The sequence below is a fragment of the Homo sapiens genome, chromosome 1 (assembly GCF_000001405.40).
Source record: "Homo sapiens chromosome 1, GRCh38.p14 Primary Assembly".
In the NCBI taxonomy this organism is placed as follows: domain Eukaryota; kingdom Metazoa; phylum Chordata; class Mammalia; order Primates; family Hominidae; genus Homo; species Homo sapiens.
In genome coordinates this window covers 10,760,929-10,783,463 of record NC_000001.11, presented here as the reverse complement: position 1 = coordinate 10,783,463, position 22,535 = coordinate 10,760,929, and the positions used below count along the sequence as shown (strand labels likewise).

Here is a 22,535-nt window from a genome sequence, read left to right as displayed (position 1 = left end):
CCTCACATCCTTTCCTTCTGGAGACCTAATTTGGATTTCTTCTTTCCATCCCTCCTTTCTTTGGGCAAAAGGAAGACTTGGAACTGCCCTGGAATGAACTCTTACAGGCCCTTCTTCTTGGGAGGTAGAGCCCCTGTCTCTCCCAAAACATATACGCTTGCCCATGTGCACATGTACACACACATACACACACACACACACACACACACACACACACTTCTCCACTGGCCTAGCCGTTAAAAATAAATAAATAAAACCCCAAATATTAAAGCAGGGCTGAGCAGATGTGGCCCTGGCAGGGCTGGCTGGGTTGTCTGGAGGCGGGGGTGGCCGGTGGCCCCGGGAGGGCCGTGTGTGTTGATTCCCGGACATTGCCCAGCGCCCTGTGTGCTAATGTGAAGCTGAAAAGTCCCCTGCATTGTGCCGGCTCCTTTCCCCGTGAAAAGGCAATTGAGTCAGTGAGTTCCAAATGGATTGGAGCTGACAGTAAATGAGAATTTGGCAGTGGGTAGAAAACAAGCTTCCCCCACCCTCCACCCAACACACACTCCCTCATCCCTCCCTCAACTCTCAGTGCCTGTTTGGTTTTGAGAGGGATTTTGCAAAGAATTATGATTTCTGTTTGCACGTATCACACACTATCAGCAGGGGTCGTGCCCCAGCCTTCCCCCCTCCCAGGGACGGCCCAGCCCCCTCCCCCAGGTGACCAGGCCCACTCCCCTTCCCGCCTCAGTGGCTCCGCCAGCGATCCCGAATGAGTTAAGGGCTGAATCAACTCTAGACCCAGCTGTACATTTTACTCTGGGTTCCTGAATGAAGGGACGTGCTGTGCTCAGCACGATTGGAGACTGTCTGTCCCGGGTGACCCACCCGGCCCCCACCCTGCTGGGCTCCACCAGCTTTTATGGGACCTGCCGCTCAGTCCCAGGACCTCGTCCCTGGCAGCTGGGGAGTCGGTGGCTCATGCCGTGGGGACCTTGTCTGGTGTCCTCCCCGTGTCCAACCTGCTCTTAGAGACCTATTTTAATTTTAAAAGAAAGAGTACACCATTTTAAGTTGGTCTTATCCCTGGTTTGTAAAGAAGGATTTCGATGTTGAGGGTTCATGGATGCCAAGGGCCTTGCCCCCATCATTCTCCATTCCACAGTGTCCACACCAGTACCGTAGTCAGTAGATACTTACTAGTACCAGGCCCTCTCGCCAATGGCCCCGTGTCCCTAGACCTCCCCACTTAAGCATTCCCAGAAGCTGCAGGGAGGGAAACACTGCTTCCTTTCAAATACCCCTCCAGTCGTGCTCCTCATTTGTGACATAGCAACTCTTTAGCCTGACCAACCTGTCTCTATAGAGGGGTAGCGTCTTTCCTATTTCTGCAGGGCAAGAGGCACAGCGATGCCCTTGTTTTGGCAGAATTACAACCTGCTCCTGGGGGGTGTCTGTGCCCCCAGTGGCCAGGGAGGCCCCTCAGGGGACTCTTTCTGGAAAAGGCTGGTGGAGTCTGCTTGTTTGGGGAGCTATGCTGGGAGGATAGTGGTAAAGTCCTCGGCTCAAATCCCTAGTCTCTCCTTATTGGGACTCTGACTTTGGAATATTGTGGGCTCTTCTCAGCCTCAGCTTTCTCACTTGTAAAAGAGGGTTCACGATAGCACCTATCACTTGGGGTTGCTGTGAGGATTAGATGAAATGACGCTGGAAGGGCTCCTGGCACATGGTGATGAGGGGTAGCTATCGTTGCTACTAGTACTGTCTCTACTCCACCCTCCCCATCTGTCATCATGAAGGCAGTAAGGCAGAGGGCTCCCTGTGTTTGAGCTCCAGAGACCCCCAAGGCCAGGCTGAAGCGTCATCCCAGAGGCTGTGGCCACCACAAGTCTGTTGGAGCATGTTCGCCAATAGCAAGGCAAACGTGTCCGCCCAGTACAGAGCCCTCGAGGGAGCAGGGAAAGGCTTGCAATGCCCAGGGCTGAGCTGTTGGACGTGCAGGTGGCAGTCCCTGGGCTGGCCTGGACTGCCTGCCCAGGGAGGAGCTGACTCCCAAGCACTGGCGCCATCTTGGTTCTCCTTGGCTTCTCCTCGCAGACGGGAGTGTGGCCCTTGCCCTTCCCCAGGAGCAGGTGGCCTTTGCAGCCTGGCACCTGTTCCCAGAGGGTAGCTGCCAAGAAGGCACAAACCCAGGGATCTCCCTGCATGTCCTCCGAGTCATTGCACAAGGCCTGTGTGCTGCCTGGAGGGGCTGGCCTGGGCCTGTGCTAGTGGAGAAGGTCGAAGGAGGAGCTTCTCTCCTCCCAGAGCCCCCTCCTCGCCCTCCAGGCAAGTCACAGGAGAGCCAGGACCAGCATCCTGAGGTCTGTGTCCTGGGGGTTTGTTGGGGTGGGGCGAGTAGGGGAGCGGGGAGACAGGTGAAGGATGTGAATGAAGTTGGAGAGGGGGTGCAGGAGAAGGGTCTTGCCTCTGTCCCTAAGGGGCAGCAAGGAAGCTGAGTTGATTTTACATTCTTATTTTATTAAAAGAGAAAGGAAATAGACATTTACTGAGGGCCGATTGTGTGTCAGATGCTGCGCTGTGACTCTTTGTGGGATTGAAAGACACAAGGCAAGCAGTGGTTCGATTCCCATTGTACCTGGCAGGAAATGAGGCTCTGAGAGGTTCAGTCACTTACCTGAGTTCACTCAGCTCATTAAAGGAGAGCTAGGGTTCCAACGCTGGTTGATCTGACTCTGAAATGCACGCTTTTCCCTATGCACCGGAAAAATAGAACCATATTTTAAACAGTTTTTGAAAATAGATCAAAGGGAAAAAAATGCACCCCTAACTTAACTATCATGAGACAACATTGTTTAGTATCTGGTGTATTTCTGTCTAGTGTTTTTCCCCCGTTTGGTGACTGTATATATTTATTAAACATGTATTTTACATAACTATAATCATAAAAGAATATGGTTTTGATTGAGACTTTGGATGAGGTAGGAGGGTCTCCTGAGCTGGGGCCACCGGGGAGGGATTGATTCTTGGCAAAATGGAAACCTGGTTTTGGCTCTGAGCCATCTTTTTGGTAATGAGGTGCCTGAAACTGCACTGGAGAAGGCAAACTGGCTGAATGGAGAGGCAGGCGAGACCCCAGTGTTCTCTCCTGGGTAGCTTTTGCTCAGTTAAGTGGCAGAATTTTCCTTTTAACTCACTTCCTTCTTGCTTTTGACAAATGGGAATATTTGTACCATTTTCCCGAATGACCTCCTCTCCTTGGGGTAATGAGAAAATGACAGTCTTTGCTAAGTGCTTTGAGATATTCAGATATAAAAATGGAGAGCAGAGCGTTGTCGTGGGCCTTTTGCTGCCAGGGCGCTTTATAAGGAGGAAGTGCAGTTTGTGGGGAGTGAAGGTCACCGTGAGGGTGAGGGCTCCTGCTGGAACCCGTGTCTCTCTGGGCACAAGGGCCAGGGCACTCCTGGCCCAGCTCAGGGTGGGCGGGGTGTTGGTGGAGCCTCTGCCCCTCTTCCAGGTACACACTCCCAGGCCAGATCCCCAAGGGCCAGGTGATCTGGGTCACTCGGGCAAAGCCCCCACCTTGGCTGGAATCTTGCAAATAAACGATTCAATTCCGAGAGAGTTCTCCCCTTCTCACTTCATAGGGTCTGCCCAGGAATATCACGACGGAATAAATACGGTGTCACCTGTACAAATTATCATCCCGAGGATGGTTTCGAAACATGGAAAAATGTTTATTATATGAGTGAAAAACTATACCAAATGCCAAGAGCTGTGAACGCTGCGAGAGAAACTATATAAAAATCCAAATGCTTCTGTAGAACGCTTGAAAGGTGATCCTCCAAAATGAAAATTATAGCGTTAGGGTGGTGGGACTACGGTGATTTGTTTTTTATTTCACAACATTTTATTTAAATTCCCCCCCTATGATTAAAAACCAACAAAGCCAACGTGTCGGCCCGGCAGGGAGCCCTGGCAAGGGGGAGGGGGCGGGGCAGCGCCAGGCGAGAGGGCGCCTGCACCCACGGCCCCCGCAGGGCGCTGAGCTCACCGGCTGTGCCAGCCACAGAAACCTATGAGATCTCGAGAAGCTGAGGCGTATCGGTGACTCAGCCTTCGTGTTGTGCTGTGCAACAATAGCTTTTGTCCTTTGCCCAAAACCCTAGGCCAGTGTGCTAAAAAAAAAAAAAAAAAAAAAATTATAAAATTATGAGATAGTTTGTACTTTCCTCACCAGCCGGTGCCAGCTTCGGGTGCTTTATTTATTCAAGGTGGGGAGGCAGGGAAGACGGGGTGGGGCTGGGGGGGAGACAGAAAGGAAAAGAAAAACAAGGTAAGACTCGGACAAGGCCCAAGAAATGTTTGAACCTCAACAACAAACTTTCTTTTGTTTCACCAGTGGGAAGGAAAAAATAAATGTGAACCAAAGCAAACTCCCTACATTTAGCTCGTGGGGTTGATTCCTTCGCTTCTTGCAGTGGTCTTGGCCTTTTGTTTGCAGGCCAGGAGAGCTATTGGTGATACCCACCTCTGGGCTAGGATGTGATGGGAGGTGGGATGTAGGGGCCCAGGGAGAAAGGGTTGCAGCCAGCGGTCAGGCTGGGAGCAGAGACCTCCAGGCGGGTCCCTGGTGTTCTGGGCAGTCACGCCCAACTGCCAACCGCCTTTGCTTGCACTTCCACTGGGGTTAAAGAAGATTCTTCCCTCCCAGAGTCCCAGAAGCCGCTCTCTGCCAGGGGGACTTGGAATTCCACACGGATCAAGAGCAAGGACACGTTTGCCTGGGAACAGTTTGGATGGGAGCTCTCCTCCTCGTGTCCACTGGAAGACATTTTAGGAATCAGATTCAGGAAGAAAGACCGCGAGAGGGGAGTTGGGAATGGGTGTGTGTGAGATCATATGTTGTTTTGTGTGTGTGAGATTGTGTTCGTGTGTAAATCGTTTTGCGTGTGATCGTGTCTGAGATTGTGTGAGTGACTGTGTTTGAGACTGTGATTGTGAGACTATGTGAGATTGTGTGATTCTGTATGAGATTGTATGAGGATGTGTGTGGTTGTGTGTGATTGTAAGATTGTGTCTGAGATTGTATGAGTGATCATGTATGAGATTGTTTATGAGATTGTGTGAGGTGAAGTGTGAGATTGTGTGTGGTTGTGTGAGAGTGTGTGCTTGTGTGTGACATTTTGTGTGGAATTGTGTGAGATTGTGAGATTTTTGTGGGAGATGCTGTGTGAGATTGTGTGATTGTGTATGAGATTGTGATTGTGGTTGTGTGTGAGAGTGTGTCTGATTGTGTGCGAGATTGTGAGATAGTGTGAGATGGAGTATGAGATTGTGCTTGTGTTTGAGATTTTGTGTGAAATTGTGATTGTGAGATTGTGTGAGATGGTGTGACTATGAGATTGTGTGTGTGAGATTTTGCGTGAAATTGTATGATTGTGTGTGATTGTGTGTGAGATTGTATGAGTGAGTGTATATGAGACTGTATGAGATTGTGTATGCGATTGCGTATGAGATTGTATGTGGTTGTGACATAGTGTGAAATGGTGTGGAAGACTGTGTGTGCCTGTGTGTGAGATTTTGTGTGAAATTGTGTGATTGTGTGAGATCGTGAGTCATTGTATATGAGAGTGTGTGAGATTGTGTGTGGTTGTGGGATTGTGTCAGTGGCTGTATATAAGATTGTGTGTGATTTTATGTGGATTATGTGAGTGGGTGTGTATGGGATTGTGTGTGATTGTAACGTGGTATGTGGTTTTGTGTGTGATTTTGTATGAGATGGTGTGTGTGAGATTGTGTGTGAGATGGTGTGTGGTTGTGTGTGAAAATGAGTGTAAGTGGTTGTGTATGAGATTGTGTTTGTGTGTGTGGTTGTGTTTTTGTGTGTCGCTTCTTTCCCCCTCGTTGTAGTAGCCGGGCAGAGTAAAATTAACGGGGTCTTCCGTCTGTTTTTCGCGTATCACTTGGTCCCCTGCCCCAGGCCTACCCTGAGTGAGACTGTGCTCTGGCCGGATCCGGGGCTGAATGGCAATTCTTCCTTCCGCATGAGCTCAGAGGATTTTGTGGGAATGATGCGGTGGTTTGACCAATAAGAGAAAGGAGGCTTGTGGGTGAAGGGTGAAGTCACAGAGGTCAGAGGTGGCCTGGCCCAGGACTCGGACGCCCCTCTCCGTGGTCCTCATAGGGGTCCCAACCCTGCGGTCCTTGTCCTGTCCTCAGGAACAGATTCCCAGCTGAGCTTCCGAGGCTCGGGTGGGCTCAGAGACACCTGTGTGATCGTTCCATCATTATGACCCTTCCTGTGAAGAAGGCAGCTCACAGGTTATTGTCCTGGTTTACAGGTGGGGAAACTGAGGCCCAGAGGGAGGTTGCTTCGTGCCGCAGGCCCTACAGCTAGTCAGTGACAGATCTGGAACTAGGACCCAGTATTTGAGCCATTTGGAAACACGGTCATCTTCCCCACTGGCTCAGGGTGAGGCTGGCCGGTTCCAGACATGGAATGATGCTTCCTCCAGTTGCAGGAAGTAAAGGGACCCTCCTAGGGGATCAGATGGTGGGGCTGTGTTTGGGGGTGACTGGTTTTAGGGACTGCTTCTGTTGAAGAAAGAGCACTGGATGGTGAGAAGGTGAGGTGGTTCTAGCCCCATCTCCATCGCTGGCAAGCAGCCACCTCCCAAGATGAGCAAGAGGGTTGGCCCCCATAGAGCCGTCACCCCTTCCTACTTCAGGATGGCTGGAGCTTCTTGCCACCGTCTGGAGTCCGCAGCTGTGCCATGCAGCCAACCCTCTCCCACAACCTGTCAAACCAGAGATGCCAGTTTCCCCAGGACTCCCAGGAGCTCCCGCCCCTAGCTGGTACCAGGGAGAGCCTTTGCAGGCTCGGTGGGCAGTGCCCCCAACCCATGCCCCATGCACCTGCTTATCGATCACTGCCTGTCTGGATGTGTCTCGTGTCAGAGCCCTCTGGTGTGAACTTGCCGAGTACTGAGAGGCCAAGACGTGAGACAATTACAAGCAGGGGAGAGAAGTGGTACCCTGTGACAAGAGGCAGCTGTGGAGAAAGGGGCAGGCTCCATGCCCGGGGTGAGCGCCATCTGGGCAGGAGGCCTGGCTTCCAGCTGTGGGGGCTTGGGAAGGGCAGAGCCTGGGAGGAATGATTTTGAAGCCACTACTATGGAGATTAAGGGGATGAGAATGTAAATCTCAAGTAAAAAGGTAATTGAATGTAATAGCAAACACTGCTCGCTCTATGTTAATTTTAGCTCTTCCCCTGGATACAAGACGCTGTATTAGTGTTTTATTACCATTTTGTTTGCACTAATAAAATAGTAAAATTTATTTCAAGGAAGTTGAAGGATGGTTTTACAATGCAAATTTGAAGAAATTGGACTTTTCATTTATGCCTCTGCTATTTTAAACCCTGACGGGTGTAAATTAGCTACAGGGACCGAGCAGACCCCACTGATGGGGACTTGGGAGGCGGGAGCCCTGACAGAGGTTCCAGACGAGCTCAGGGCAGAAAGCAGACAGTATCACACGGAGAGGCTGCAGCGGGAGGGTACTTGGGGGCCTGATTGGGTGGGACGGGGTGCTGGTTGAGAGTGTGTCAGGCATGAATGAGTCTAGGTGTAGGAGGGCATGTCACACACAGAGCTGGCAGAGAGACACACGTGGCCACAGACCTCAGGGCTTCATCTTTCCTCTCGGCCCTTTGGCCTCCTTCTTGTCCTGACATCGGGCCTCTATTAACCTGGTGAACCCCTAAGGGTAACTGAGCAACCCTACCCTCTGTGCCTAGAGAGGGCAGGTAGACCAACTGCTCTGCTCCCGTTCACACCCGTCCCCTTGAAAGGGGCTGAAGATTGAAGAGATCATCGGAGCATGGAGGAGAGACTTTGAGCCAAAAAGGAACCAGGGAAAAAGACCTAGGCCAGAAACCAGCCCAGCTGAGGTCCCACCTTCTCCCTCTCCCTTCCAACCCAGGCATCCTGGAGAAACTTGGCCGGGACTTTCTCAATCCCCCCGCATGCCTTCACATTGAGCCGAATGGTCCCAGACATTGTAGTGTCCATGAATCCAAAAGCTAGAGAACTGAATTTTTAAAAGAAAAAAAAAAATCAAGTCGTCTGAACCTGAGGGAACTGGATGATGGTTATAGGTAGGCGGAGAAGGGAATGAAAGGGGTGATAGGAGAGTTTCATTTTGAGTTTTGGGTGAAGAATTCAGGTTGGATCTTGTTTTATCCAAACCGGTTTGTTTATCTCTGAAAAATTATCGGCAGCAATGGCCCAAAGCGATGCACTGGGGGCCTGGCTTCCAAAGGGTAGGGAACCGAACAAGTGTTCTAATGTCTGGCGGAGTCTGCCGTGTGTATTGCCCAGGGTTTTCTGGCCGACTGCCTGGTGCGGGGGAAATGGTGAGCCAGTGTCGCCGGTTTCCAGCCCCAACCCTAGGTCTGGTGAGGTTTTCTCGGTGTATTCTGTCTCCCTTGTTGGGGTGTTGTGTGTGTGTGTTTAATGCAGAGATTTAAACTGTTGATTCTGGCAGGGCCAGAGTAGAGAGACTGGAGGAGTCTGGAAGAGAAGCTGGAACAGAGATGGTTGCAGGAGACACGTGGGGATTCATTCCCTTGTCTGTAAGACCGCGGGAGCTCTGAGTGTCAGGACTGTGCTTGTGGGTTGCAGGGAACTTGGCGCTGGGACAGAGGAGGGAGGGCTCAAGCCTCCAGCCTCTCCTGGTGGTTCCTCTAGGCCTACAGGGTCACACTTGGGGAAGAGAGGGGTCCGCGTTGACTCAGGTGGTGGGAGATACCCAAGAGTCAGGCCAGTCTCCAGCAGTGGGGCCAGAGCTCTGTGTGGTTGTTAATAGAGCAGAAAAATGCTCCATCTGGATCTCCTGGTGATCCTTTTGGATCGGGGGGGCTATGGATGGGATTTCTTGGGATCACGGGGCTTAAAGAATGTGCAGAAGGCAAAGGACTCTAAACCCAGCCCCGCAACAGGCCAGCAACCTCTTCTTTTCCTCTGTAGACTACACAGGAGGCCCTGGTGGTGGGACTTTTTCCAAATCCCTAATCTCAGGGACAGAGAGGGAGGCCCTGAACTTGGCCCTGGCCAAGGCCAGGGCAGATTTGACAGTGTGCTGCCGAAAGCAGTCAGAGTTGAGAACATTTAAAAGGGGTAGATTGTTTAGCTTTTGAAATGGTTCCCGATTCTCCGAGAGTCAGGAGATATACCGTGTGTATCCAAGGATTTAGCGACGGTGTCAGGTGGGAGGGTGCACTCCGGGTGGATTTCCACCCAAAACTCTAATTACATCCACAAGCAGACGGAAATGGGAAAAGAGGATTAGTGCAGTGCCCCTTGTGGGCCTGGCGGTGGAGGACCCCAGGAGCACCTGGCCTCTGTGCAGGCACCTGCCCACTCCCTCAGGTCCCACCTCTGTGCTGGGATCAGAGTTAAGGAGGTTTGCTCCGGACCACCACAGGGAGCTGCCAGGACCTTCAGACACTTCTTTGTCTACTCGTCTGCTCTGAACTCTCCCCAACCCATCTCTGGAGAGGTGAGGCCCCTCTGAGCAGCGACAGGGCTGCTCCCACCCTGCGGCCTCTTCTCAGCGCATATCAGCCCCAGCCCAGACTAGAAGGACGCTCCATTTTGAGTGCTTTGGTTTTCTTTTTGGCATAGGATGTGTGTGTGTGAGCTGGGGACAGGGTGCCTCACAAGCACACACACAGACTGCTGTCTGGTCTGACCACAGCAGGCCCTGGAAGCTGGAACCCCCACCTGCTGCCTTGTCCTGCTTGGTTTGGGGGAGCCCGTTGCCTGGTCCATGCGTTCCCCCGGCCAAGTATGCTGAGAAGCTAGAAGGCCGAGGCCTTCTGCCCCCAAGACTTTGACCCTTCCCCTCACCATGTTCAGTCCCCGGGGTGCGTGAGACCCCTGAGGATTCGGAACCCCCGCTCGCCCATTTCCTTCCCGGGTCCCACTGTCCTGCACCTGTCAGCTGTCTCGCTGACTGTCTGGCTTGGCTGCCACCCATCCAATCCCTCCCAGGCCAGCTCCACCCCCGCCCCCTCCCCCAGCCCACACTCCCTCCCTTCCTGTCTCTGCCCACGTCTGTCTCTACCTGCCCGTAGCCGGCACACCTGAAGATCCGAGGCTGCCTAACGGAGTGTGGGGATGGTTCAGGGTGTTTACCAGACAGCTGGGATAAGGTATTAAATCCTGCTGCTGTCTTCCCAGGGCCAGGTTCCTCAGATGGTTTTCCAAATCCCTAATCTCAGTGCCCACATCCCTGCCCAGCCTATGTTTGATGAGAGCTTTCCTTTCTGATTGAAGCTGTACCCAGCAGGATCTGTCGTGGGCTTGGGTCTGGGTTCCCACCGGTGCTCGATGACACGGGCACCCAGCCCCTTCCTCTCTGTGGTCCTTCCTTCCTCCCCTCCTTCCTTTCCTTGGGAATCTTAGTGAGTGGGGGCCAGGATTCTGCCACCAGGTGTTCTAGAGCCTTCGGGAGCCCCCATCCTCCACCATGTGGTCATGGGGCCACCTGCTGTCATGGCAGGCGGAGGTCCCAGATTGGGCTTCAAGTCAGAGGCGAGGGGGAGGAGGTGGGAGGGAGCAGGCCAGGAGCAGCCCTTACTGAGCCCACCCATACAGCTCTTCATGCTCAGAGTAAAAGTGGCCAGCGTGGGGTTCTGCCCTGGGAGAGAGTCTGTGAAGCAAACCTGTTCCTTTATGGTGTCTCTGCATTGGCTTAGGAGATGACAGCTTTAGGGAGGAGCCATGCACCTGTCTGGCACTCAGGTGGACACCCTGCCCTCGTTAAACTGGCCGAGCTTCTGGGGTCACAGGAGGGCCTGCATGCTCCTCCAGTGAACAGGGACTTGGAGACACCCAGTGGTATCCATTCTTCATGTGTGGCAGAGACAGCTTCCCAGAGTCTTCCATGTGGTAGAATATCTGGATATGTGTCTGCCCTTTCCAGGATGGCAGGACTAGGCAGAGAGCAGGGACACCCTGCTCCTGATCCTCAGCCTTCCCCCGCAGAAACAAGGCTGAAAGAGGCCAATCTGCTTCCTCTCCTGAAGCTGGGAAGTTTCTATGGGGGAAGGAGCAGAACTCTAGACCAATGGGGGCATGTGGCCAATGGTGGCGGCCTGGGTCTAGCCCTCTGGGGGTGCCTGGGACTGATGGATGTGTTCTTTCTCCCAGCTGCAATGTGGCCTGGGCAGACCCTTCTAATTTCGGCTTCTCTCTCCCTAGCTCCAGACTGCCTCTTCTTTCTCCCACCCATGCCCCTTCTCCTCCTTCCTCCAGGCAACCAGAGGTGTCTTAGGTTTCACAACAGCCCAAGCCTTCCTTTCTCTCCAGGTCTCCTCACCTTGTTCCTGCAGGCTCCCCCCAGGTGTCACGTGGCTCCACCCTCTCACTGTTGCCTTGGCAGTCAGTGCCGCTCCCGGTTTGTCTCTGTCTTTTGCTGAGATCAGGGCACAGACAGGAGTGGGGAGTTCCCTGGGGGCCGGCCGAGAGGGGCTTGGCAGCAGCTAACTGGGCTGGGACGGGACAAGGGGCTGCAGCAGCCAACTTCATGCCGGGTCCTCAGTCAGCATCCTCACCATCAAGGCTGGAAGCGGGTTCCAGGGGGAGTCCTGGGTGCCAGCATCCCCAATTTTATTTCAGGGGTGTTCTTTTTCTCATATGTGTTTGGCAAAGATCAAGAAGTGGAATAGAAAATAAGGGGACAGAGAAAATCTGGAGGGTGACAGTTGGGCTGGTGAGGAGGAGGAGGAAGAGGAGGAGGAGGAGGAGGAGGAGGAAAGAGGTGAAATTAATTCATTAGAAAAACTTGTTTACTGGCTTTGCTTAGGTGCCTCCATTTTAAAAGTCTACGTTTACAATAAGTCGCTAATTAAAATACAAAATTAAGCAACAGCTATGTTTTTTTTTCCCTTACACTTTAATTGCATGATTTTTTGTGATGTAATTTCTGGAAACACCCAGCGTACCTCACAGGGCTGATTGTTTGATAGACTAGAAGTACCCGAAACCAACCCCAAAAAATAAATATATAAATCCAAGGGAAACTGAAGGTAGATTGGAAATGACACAGAACTGCAGACAGCGGGGAACCAAAAATCCATAATAATAATAATAATAAAAACTTCTAAGTAAGGACATTTATCCTGCCGCCACCCCCGCCCCCACCTCCCCAACCTGCCTGAAACCAGAACAATCTGTGCCTCTCAAGGGAAAAACAAGCTGCCATAGAAGCCAGACCAAGTGGGGCGGTTGCTCCCTGTCCCGCACCCCCAGCTTGGCGCTATGGAGAAAAAGCAGGCGCAACTGGGAACTTTCCCTGCCTCCATTTCTAGCTGGGCTCAGTACTTGCTGGGGCTTCTGCCTTCATCTCTGACCTTTCAAGGGAATTGTCTTTGTCCCCCTTGTTCTGAACCTAGATGCAATCCCAGGAGGAGATGCTTGGGGGCAATGACCGCCCCTCCTGGGAAAAGCACGTCTCTCCTTGCACGTGCCATGGCAGACAGCGGGACTGGGGCTTGGGTTGCTGGCCCTGTGTTCCTCGTTATCCTGAAAGCACTGGCTCTTCTGGAAGGGAGTGGGAAAGGGTGATCCGAGGTAAAAGAGGCATGGGTTGACTTTGCAGATGGCCCCCTGGCCTACTGCCTTCTTTAAGATGTAGACCTAGGTGATGATTGCAAAACTGCAGAGAAACCTGTCAGGAACTGATGGGGTGGGGCTGGGAGGAAGCTGGGTCCCACTGGTGGCCTAGCTGCTGGAAAATTGCAGGCCCAGCATCTTCTGTGGGCTCGGGGCTCCTAGGTGCAGGGCATCTGGGCAGTGGGAGCATGCAGGACAGAGGGGGCCTGTGACCGCACTGCTGGCTCCTTTCACCACCCCGCAGCTAGGGGCCCAGTTGGCTGGGACCCCAGCAACCCCTCCGTACACTCTGCTCCTGGGAAAAAAGGAATTACCTCCTTTTAGGGCCTTTTTAAAAATCTATTTTTTCTCCTTGATTACAAGTTATGCTCATGTGCATTGAAAAATACAAAAAAGTATAAAGAAAATAATTTAGGCCAGGTTCGACAGCTCACACCTGTACTCCCAGCACTTTGGGAGGCTGAAGCAGACAGACCACTTGAGCTCAGGAGTTCAAGAAACTCCTGGGTGACATGGCAAAACCCTGTCTCAACAAAAGATACAGAAATTAGGCAGGCGTGATGGTACACATCTGTAGTCCCAGCTACTTGAGAGGCTGAGGTGGGAGTATGGCTTGAGCCCAGGAGGTGGAGGCTGCAGTGAGCCGAGATCGTGCCATTGCACTCCAGCCTGAGTGACAGAGCCAGGCCCTGTCTCAAAAAAAGAAAGAAAAGAAAAAAGAGAAGAGAGAGAAAAGAAAAGAATTTAAAAATGTGTTTTGTGAGTTAGGGAGACAGAGATACCTGGTTATAATCCCTGGTTTTCCACCCAGCAGTATCACCTTGAATAAGTTACTCAGTTTCCAAACCTCAGTTTCCCCATCTGTCAAGTAGAAATACTGATAGCGTAGATCTTGCAGGCTGGTCCTTGATTTAGTGTAATGATCCATATATAAAATACTTAGCACTGAGCCTGGCACATAGCACCCTTAAATATTACTTCTGGCCAGGTGTGGCGGCTCACTCCTGTAATCCCAGCACTTTGGGAGGCCAAGGTGGGCAGATCACTTGAGGTCAGGAGTTTGAGACCAGCCTGGCCAACATGGCGAAACCCTGTCTCTACTAAAAATACAAAAATTAGCCGGGTGTGGTGGTGCGCACCTGTAATCCCAGCTATTCGGGAGGCAGAGGCAGGAGAATCGCTTGAACCCGGGGAACAGAGGTTGCAGTGAGCCGAGATCACCCCACTGCACTCCAGCTAGGCAACAGAGTGAGACTCCATCTCAAAAAAAAATTAACTATTTCTGTTTCTGTTATTATCATTAATAATGACTATTCCCACTATCTTGGGATAATAGACATTTAACTTTTTTACACTGATGAGTTATCTATCTAAACCTGTGCTATCCAAGCCTCTAGCTTCTTTAAACTTTCATTCATTAAAGTAAAAGAAAATTGGAAATTCAGTTCCTCAGTCACATTGTCCACGTCTAGTGCTCAGTAGCCGCATGTGGCCAGTGGCTGCTGTGTGGGACAGCATCCTCCAGCACACAGCCACTGGAGTGTTCTCGCCGAACCTTCCCCCACTTTTCTAAGTGTCTCTTAAGGGCTGCATAGTGGTCCATAGCGTGGCTGAATCACATTCTCTTACTGGCTTGAGTTTTCTTTTCTTTTCTTTTTTGAGACGGAGGCTTGCTCTGTTGCCCAGGCTGGAGTGCAGTGGCACAATCTCTGCTCACTGCAACCTCCGCCTCCCAGGTTCAAGTGATTCTCCTGCCTCAGTCTCCTGAGTAGCTGGGATTACAGACGCCGCCACCACACCCGGCTAATTTTTGTATTTTTAGTAGAGACGGGGTTTCACCATGTTGGACAGGCTCGTCTCGAACTCCTGGCCTCAAGTGATCTGCCCGCCTCTGCCTCTCAAAGTGCTGGGATTACAAGCATGAGCTACCATGCCTAGCTTGGCTTGAGTTGTCATTCCTGGGAGGTTGGTGCATCCTCTGGGCTCTGATTGGTCACCAGCGGTTTCTGCCTCCTGGCACCTGCCCTGTGGTGCTCTCTGATTGGTGCCAGGCAGTGATGGATTCTGGGAGGAGCAAGCCCGGCCGGCTGATTGGCTCTCAGTGGTGATGCCAGGGCTCTGCTTCCCCTCCCCCACAGTGGGCTCTGGCTGGGCAGGAGGGGCCACTCCCCCCAGCACTCTGGTGCCCGTCCCCCAGGATGCCTCCTCCTCACCCTTCACCCCAGAAGGCTGGAGTCCAGGGAGAGGAGGGCCTTGGTTGAGGGAGTAAAAATGAACAATAGGCCAGGTGCAGTGGCTCATGTCTCTAATTCCAGCACTTTGGGAGGCTGAGCCCGGCAGCTAACTTGAGGTCAGGAGTTTGAGACCAGCCTGGCCAACATGGTGAAACCCCATCTCTACTAAAAATACAAAAATTAGCCAGGCATGGTGGTGCGTGCCTGTAATCCCAGCTACTTGGGAGGCTGAGGCAGGAGAATCATTTGAAACCAGCAGGCGGAGGCTGCCGTGAGCCGAGATTGCACCACTGCACTCCAGCCTGGGTGACAGAGTGAGACTCTGTCTCAAAAACAAACAAACAAACAAACAAACAAACGAACAATAATGACCCACCCTGCCCTGAGCAGAGGGTCCAAGATAAAACCCGGAGGCCCCTGGGGGAGCCTCCTGAGATCAGGGCGGCCTGCCTCATGGGAAGCACCATGGTAGAGGCTGGCCTGGCTCCCTGAATCCTGTGCAGGCCTCCCGCTCCTTGTGAGGGTCTTCCAGCTCCCGGAAGGCCCCTGACTCAGTCAAGACACTTGTGAGATTCCAGGGTGGAGTCTGGGGTCCCAGGTCTGGGGTCTGCTCCAGGAAGACCTTGCAATGGTGGGTGACCCTCCTGTGACTAGGGTTGGAGTGGGCGTTGGGGGACTGGGGTGATGCCAGGGTCGTGGCCCTCCTCATGGGCCGAGGGCTGTGGACAGGGCCAGCGAGGGAAGTGATCCCCGGGGCAGTGGGCAAGACAGACAGGGAGCTGCAACCGGACCTGCTGATGTGGCCCTTTCTGCTTGCAGTGGGTCATAAAATATGGCTCAGATTTTCATTACGGGCTCTATCGATTATCTTCTGCGATGGATGAATTATAGAGAACATTAAATTTTTTTTAAAAAGCAAGTGAGAGAGGAAATATCTGAATGACTTTGGGTGGTCGATGGCAGAAAGGGCTGAGCCACCAAGCCTGGTCTCCGAGCAGGTGTGGACCAAACCTCTCGGGGCAGGCAGCTGCTGACTCCTCCGGCTCTCTGCTTCCCGGCCTCCCTGGGCCTGGCTTTGCAATAGGGGAAGCCTGTGCTCCCATCGCCCCCGCCCTGTCCCCTCCAGGGATCTGCCTAGGATCTGGGAAGGCGGAAAATCAGGTTGTTTACAGGGCTGTGACCTGGAAATAGGACCCGTCCCAGGCTTTGGGCCTCCATTGCTGGGAGATGGGGCCCCAGCTCTGCTGCCTGCCCTCCAGGGACTTCCTGATTCTGGAGATGCCTGCCTGGGTAGAGGGAAGGGTCAGAGGACATCGCTGATCTCCTGGGCCAGGACTGGGGCAGGAACTCATGAGGAATGTGGACGACCGGGCCCCATCTTTTCCCCACTCCTCGTTCCTCCCATCAGGAACTCATGAGGAATGCGGACGACCGGGCCCCATCTTTTCCCCACTCCTCGTTCCTTCCATCAGCAGTCAACGGGCGCAGAGGATTTCTGTTTTCCTTCTGAAGTTTGGGAAGAGCGAGTCTAGGTCCCACCACTCTGCCTCTAAGGCCAGTCCAGAAAGAGAAGCTCCTGAAAGCCCTTCCCTCCCTCGCTTTCTCCCCACCCACCTTACTAAGCAGTGCTGTGAGGAGGTGTCAGGCAGTTGGGGTTAAATCATGTACCAGTGTGTGACCTTGGCTGGGCCCCATCTCTCTGTGGGTCCCAGTTCTTCAACCCTCCACTCGCCAGTTGAGAGAACCATCTACTTCATTGCAGGTTATAGATATTAATTTGCGATGGTTATATGCATTAATATATTAAAATCCTGAGCCCACAATGCTTAATAAACATGAACTAGTATCGTTTTCCTCTTCTACTGTGGCAGGGTCTAGAAACCTTTCTTTCTCTTTGTTTAGGCTTTGTGATTGATTTATCAAATGCTTGACAGCACCTGCTTTGTGGGGCTGTGAAGTACCTGCTCGTTACCCGGGTGTTACCACAGGCTTCACCTTCCCCCACCTTTCAGCCCGGCCAGAAGCACCTGAGGCTTTGGTTGTGACATCTGAGCCCTGTCTGGTGGCTCTAGGGGACCTACTTGGTCGAGGGTACTTTCCTCAGCATGTTACACGTAAGAAGCCATTTAATCCTCATGACGGTTCGCAGAGGAACTATCTTTATCCCCATTTTACTGATGGAGAAACTGAGGCACAGAAAGGTTAAAGTCGTTAGCCTAGAGCCACACAGCTTGTGGGTGGCAGAGCCTGGATTCCTACCTGGGCAGTCTGGTTCCAGAGTTTGTGTGCTTAACCACAGTGGCATGTTGCCCAGTGATCTGGCGGAGTGGCATATATGTGTGTGTGTGTGTGTGTGTGTGCACGTGCTGAACGTGTGTTTTGTGACTGACTCCACTTTCTGACCCTCCGCACGGTATTTGGTTCCTGCAGATAGATCATCAGTGGCCCCTGCATTTTCTGGGGCCCTGTTCTGGGTGGAGCATGTCTCCCCAACCCCCACACATCCCCTCACCCAAGCTTCACCTAGGCTGCTGTGAAAAGGTGGTGGTTTCCATGGATATCCGTCTCCCTCTGGCGACACGCCCTTTTTTGTATAACTCTGTTCCCTGGAATTGATTGTTTTTGGCACACAGCTCTGTAAACTCATCCAACAATTAAAGTGGGGGAGGGGTGGAACAGAAAGGAGACAGATAGTAACTGTGGGGTGAGTGATACGGAGGAAGGGCCTCTGGGGTGCGGGTCCCCTCCCTGTCCCCTGCCGGCAGCAGGACAGTGGACAGTACCTTAAGTGTGGAAAGGCCGCATAAGCAGCTGGCTGGGAGTTCTGAGAATTCAGAGCCCTCTGCACTTGAGCTGCGTTCTTGCCCCATCTCTCTCTCCCTCAGAAATCTAAAGGGTCCCAGGTTCAGGTCCAATGAGGCCGTTGCCAGAGGTCACCTGAAGCCGTGAGATGCCAGCCTGGACCGATCTGCATGTTGGCCGCCCTTGTTTTGGCTCATTGTGTATGTGTCTGCCCTGTTTGTGTACCGTCGAATACCTGCTGCGTTGGGCGTACCCGTCGTGGGCCGTGTGAGATCACAGATGAAAAATGCAGCGAAAAACACTTTCGTGCCACAACACATCATGGAGGATTTTTGTATTAAGATGTGGATTTTTTTATTGTTTTTTTTTTTTCCTTTTCCATACAGCCCTGGAGTTGGGCAATGTGCACGTCTGTGTTTTTGTTTTCACTCGGGTGGTTTATGAAATCTGCTCATTAGCGCTCTGTCCTCTCCCCACCCCGGGCTTATCTTCCACCACGTACCCTCTCGGATAGAAATCTTTCCCTACCACTTCCCAGTGTCTTCCCTCCTGCAGGGAGATGATAGGCGCCTCCCCGTACCCACATTCCCCCAGGTGAAAATCAAGGGGTTCTCTGGCCCTGCTTCCCAATCCCGCGTCTCCGTGGCTGATGTTCATTGTGGGGGGAGGTTCCGATGTAGGGGAGGCAGCAGAAATCCCTGCCCCACGCCCCCAAAGATAAAGCCCTTTTGCTTTCCCCTTATCTGGAGAGAAGAAATGGAAGTTGTCCTGTCCCAACAGGACCTCCTGACTTAGCATGGAGGTGGCTTCCTTGTCCCCATCCTGTCAGATGACAGGTTGCAATGGGCATGACCACAGTCCAGACCCCATTTGGAAGATGTGTTCAGGGGTTCATCCTGCTCGCCGGGTATTACCATGGGCCTCGCTTTCCCCCCTTTTCAGCCCGGCCAGAAGCACCTGAGCCTTTCATTGTGACGTGTGAGCACTGCCTGGTGGCTCTGGGGGACTTGGTCCAGAACTGTTTTGAGGCCAGGAGAACTGAGATTCTGGAGGGACAACAGCATCAGTTGTGGGTGGCTGCAGAGATCACAGGGAGGGGAGCAGGATGACCTTTTAAGTGAGTTGGGCCTTGGAGCCTGTCAGCCCAGGCCTGGCTTTGGCACCTGTACATGGTATGATCCTTGGCAAGTCACTTCGTGTCTCCATGCCCGCCCTCCCTAATCTATCCATGGGGACCATAACCATTTCTGCCTTTGTGTTGTAAAGATTTGGCTAGATCATGTGCGTAGGGCACTTGGCACGGTGCTTGGCAGATAGAAGGCATCTGACTGGTTCATACCAAGAGTTCTCACTTTGGCCTATTGGCAGGGGGCAGAGGCCACTTATCAGTGTGCCCTTATGCCCAGCCTGCCGCCTGGCACATAGTAGGCACATGGTCCAATTCTTATTGGAATTGGTTGGAGGGGATCAAGTAACTAAGGGGCTCCCTTAAACCTGAGAGCTGTTAATTCACAGGGCTAATGGAGGAGAAGGAGAGACCAAGGCACAGATTGAGGCTTGGGAAGAGCTAAACAGAATGGGCACAAAAAAGAGCCAACAGGGCTGGGTGCGGTGGTTCACACCTGTAATCCCAGCACTTTGGAAGGCCAAGGCAGGCCGATCACCTGAGGTCAGGAGTTCGAGACCAGTCTGGCTAATCTGGTAAAACATCGTCTCTACTAAAAATACAAAAATTAGCCAGGCGTGGTGGCACTTGCCTATAGTCCCAGCTACTCGGGAGGCTGAGGCAGGAGAATCGCTTGAACTCGGGAGGCAGAGATTACAGTGAACCGAGATTGCGCCACTGCACTCCAGCCTGGGTGACAGAGCAAGACTCCATCTCAAAAAAGAAAACAGAAAACAGCGAATGGAGCGTTCTGTTGGAGAAGAGGGGCCAAGCTGCACGGAGCTCATCTGACTCTGACCTGAAGTCAGGGACTAGTTCAGTTCCACCGACACCTTCGCTGCCCACGGTGGCCCAGCTGTTGTGCTAGATGCTGGAGACGCGCAGATCATTAGGACCCGCTCTCTGCCCTTGAGGAGTTAAAAGTCCAATGGTGGAGACAGACTTGTGAACAAATTACTTTAGTCCAGTATGGATGTAAATGCTGTGGTGGAGGATATAGGAGGAGCAGAGTCAGGGGTGTGTGGGGCCACCCGGGGTAGATTTCAGAAGGCTACCTTGAAGAGGCTTGGAAGAAGAGGGTGGTGGTGATTCTGGGCATTTCTAGAGTGCTTGTTAACACCCTTTCACGCCTCTTGTCCATCCTCCGCGCAGCCTGCAAGGTAGGAGGGAAGTCTTAGGCATCGTCTCCGTCTGGCTGGTGAGGGGACGGAACCTAGGGAGATTAGCAGGCTTGTCTAAGGGCCCATGGAGGTTTCGGGGACAGAAGTGGGACTCGGACCCACGTCTCCTGGTTCTCAGCCCGTTGTGATTTCTGTAAGCACGCTCACTCAGCTTCTCACTTCTTCACCATGGAGCCGCTGGTCACAGAGACCCGGCCTCTGCGCTCTGCACTTTCTGACCGGGATCCATGGCCCCCGGGGCCTGGGCTGTGGGAAAGCCTCAGTTTATGGAAGGCCCCGCGGCCTGTGCCCTGGTTTGGTAAGTGGGTCAGGCCACTTGGTTGGGGACAATCCTGGAGCAAGGCCACGCCCTGGCAGGCTTGGAGGATGGCAGGAATGGGGAAGACCGTGGGGGAAAAGGAGGAGGAGGCCTGGCCACACCCTTTATTCAGTTGTTCTTGCTGCCAAAGCTGAAAAGCATCCTCTGCCCTGGGCAGGCCCCACTTTCCGCTGGAAGAAGCCCAACGAGCGTCCCACCAGGGCCTGGAGCCCCCTTTCCTTCCATAGCTGGAACCTCCTCTGAGCCAAGGACATGAAACACCGAGAGTGTTCACCGTTGGCCTGTGGTCAGCCCCTGGTCTTGCCAGCGCCTTGCCTGGAGTTGGGGAGGTAGATGTGTTTCCCTTAACCTTTTTTCTGGGGAATGTACATGTCTGTTTTACAAAGCTGGAAGAGGGGCATGTCAGCCTCCTGTGTAAGATGCTGGCTTTTAGGTGGGTTCGTTCTGATGGGATATTGGAGTGGAGACCCCCAGCAGATGGAGATTCTTGGAGTAGGAGTGTAGGTGGTCCAAGGCATGCCTTCTTCTAGCCCAGGGGAGTTTTGTGGGTGGACGGGCTGCCCAGGGCTTTGGGGGATTCTGGACTAACAGGCAGGGGAGTTTCAGAGCCCAGAGGAGTGAGTCTCCCAGTGGCCCTGAAGTTTCCATTAAAGTGTTTTTTCCTCTTTTTTAAAGAAAAAAATATTCCCAAACTGGAAAACAAAGGAAATCCACTTCCCCCAAATCACACGAAACTCACATTAGGGGCCTGGCAGGAATCCATGGAAACCAGGAAACCCGCTGTTAACCCTGTGTGGCGCCGAGGGGTGGGATGGGAGCTGGGCTGATCCAAGCCTTGGACAGTGGATGCTGTCCACCCCTGATGGCCTCCCCCAGGGAGCTGGTCTCGGTGGCATTGCCCCAGCCGAGGTAGGGCAGAGCTGATGCTGAAGCTCTCACCTTCAAAGAGCCAACTCCCCCTCGCACTCAGGTCCAACCTTGGGAGGCAGGAGGGGAGGGGTTCGTGCACTCCTGCAAGGCCTCCGGGGACTCTGAGGGCCGGGCCAAGTTGGAGAACCTGCAGGGCAGCTGCCCACACCATGCCACACTAAGGAGGCAGGGCCCAGCCCGCTCACACGCTTCAGGAACGCAGAGCTGCTGTGGCTGCTGCAATCTTCCCGCAAAGGGGGAAGGAAAGGGCCGGGATTTCAGTGGCAATCTTCCTGATGCCAGCTCCGCAGGCAGGGTGGGCAGGAGAGCGGACCGAGCACCCCCTCTGGGTTCTCAGCACCCCATTCTCACATCCACGAGGCCGGGCTTCCAGGGCTGGGAGGTCGTACGCCGAGATCGGGTTGTGTGTTTGTGTTTGCACGCGCATGAGCTCCTTTTTTCTAAAAATGCTGAAAATATTTACAGGTTTGAAGTTGAAACGCAAACAGGAAAAGCCCTTTAAAAAGTGAGTGTAGTGGATATTCAAAACAGGAATCACCATGGAAACACCACAATATTTGTTTAAATTGACACAAAGGTTGCCGGTAGCAGGGCACCAACTTTCTTTGGCTACTTTTTTTTTTGTCCCAACACCTATCGCAACTGAATCTCAGCAGCCCCCTTTCAGGGCAAGGGCCCACACCCTCTTTTCTTTTTATGAAATTGAGTCCCACAGTACCAGAATGGAAGTGGGGAAGGAAAGCCAGAAGAAATTAAATTCACTATCCTGGGTCGCTGCAGAGACACCTGTTGATTCCTTTTATAGAGGCTCCCAGAAGGCCACCCAGGGGTCAGGGGAGCAGCTGGGAGCTGGCGCAGGGAAAGTCTGGAGGGAGCAGGCGTTGGGGAGCCCAGGGTTGGTTTGGTTGCATGGGTTTGATCTGTTTCCAGTATTGGCTTGATCCATTTTCAGGCCTGACCTTTCACCCTGGGTGCCCAGCCTTGGGTGTGATCCTTCTGTGTTACCTGGGGAGGCACCTGATTGGCCTAGTATTGTTTCTACCTGTTTGCTTCTTTTATTAGGTACAACAACTGCGTAGCCATTGGCTAATAATTGTGCGAAGGGTGCGTTGGTTGCAGAGTCAGGCATGGTATGCGCCGTGGCAATGCCATCTGCTGATTGGCTGGCAGGAACGAGAATCTCTTACCTGGCTGGCTGGTTATCACACAAGGTGTGGGAACCTTAGCCTCCCTTGTCCT

At 52.8% G+C, this 22,535-nt stretch overlaps 1 protein-coding gene across 4 annotated transcripts in view, besides 2 other annotated features; it reads left to right on the top strand.

Annotated features, from left to right (window-relative positions):
• The window catches only part of CASZ1 (castor zinc finger 1), a 160,043-nt gene that overhangs the window by 13,183 nt on the left and 124,325 nt on the right, over window positions 1–22,535 (top strand). Inside the window, exon 2 of one of the 4 annotated variants that reach the window (XM_047423404.1) lies at window positions 22,359–22,507. The exons of the other annotated variants lie outside the window; for them this stretch is intronic. The gene's annotated coding sequence lies outside the window, so the exon portion shown is untranslated. The remainder of the gene's footprint in view (window positions 1–22,358; window positions 22,508–22,535) is intronic. 4 annotated transcript variants of the gene reach the window in all.
• Window positions 21,008–21,508: an enhancer, noted in NCBI's record as "H3K4me1 hESC enhancer chr1:10822013-10822513 (GRCh37/hg19 assembly coordinates)". NCBI's record gives its function as "activates a minimal SCP1, AML or CMV promoter by ChIP-STARR-seq in primed H9 embryonic stem cells {active_cell/tissue: H9 hESC(primed)}" and the evidence as "EXISTENCE:reporter gene assay evidence [ECO:0000049][PMID:30033119]".
• Window positions 21,509–22,009: an enhancer, noted in NCBI's record as "H3K4me1 hESC enhancer chr1:10821512-10822012 (GRCh37/hg19 assembly coordinates)". NCBI's record gives its function as "activates a minimal SCP1, AML or CMV promoter by ChIP-STARR-seq in primed H9 embryonic stem cells {active_cell/tissue: H9 hESC(primed)}" and the evidence as "EXISTENCE:reporter gene assay evidence [ECO:0000049][PMID:30033119]".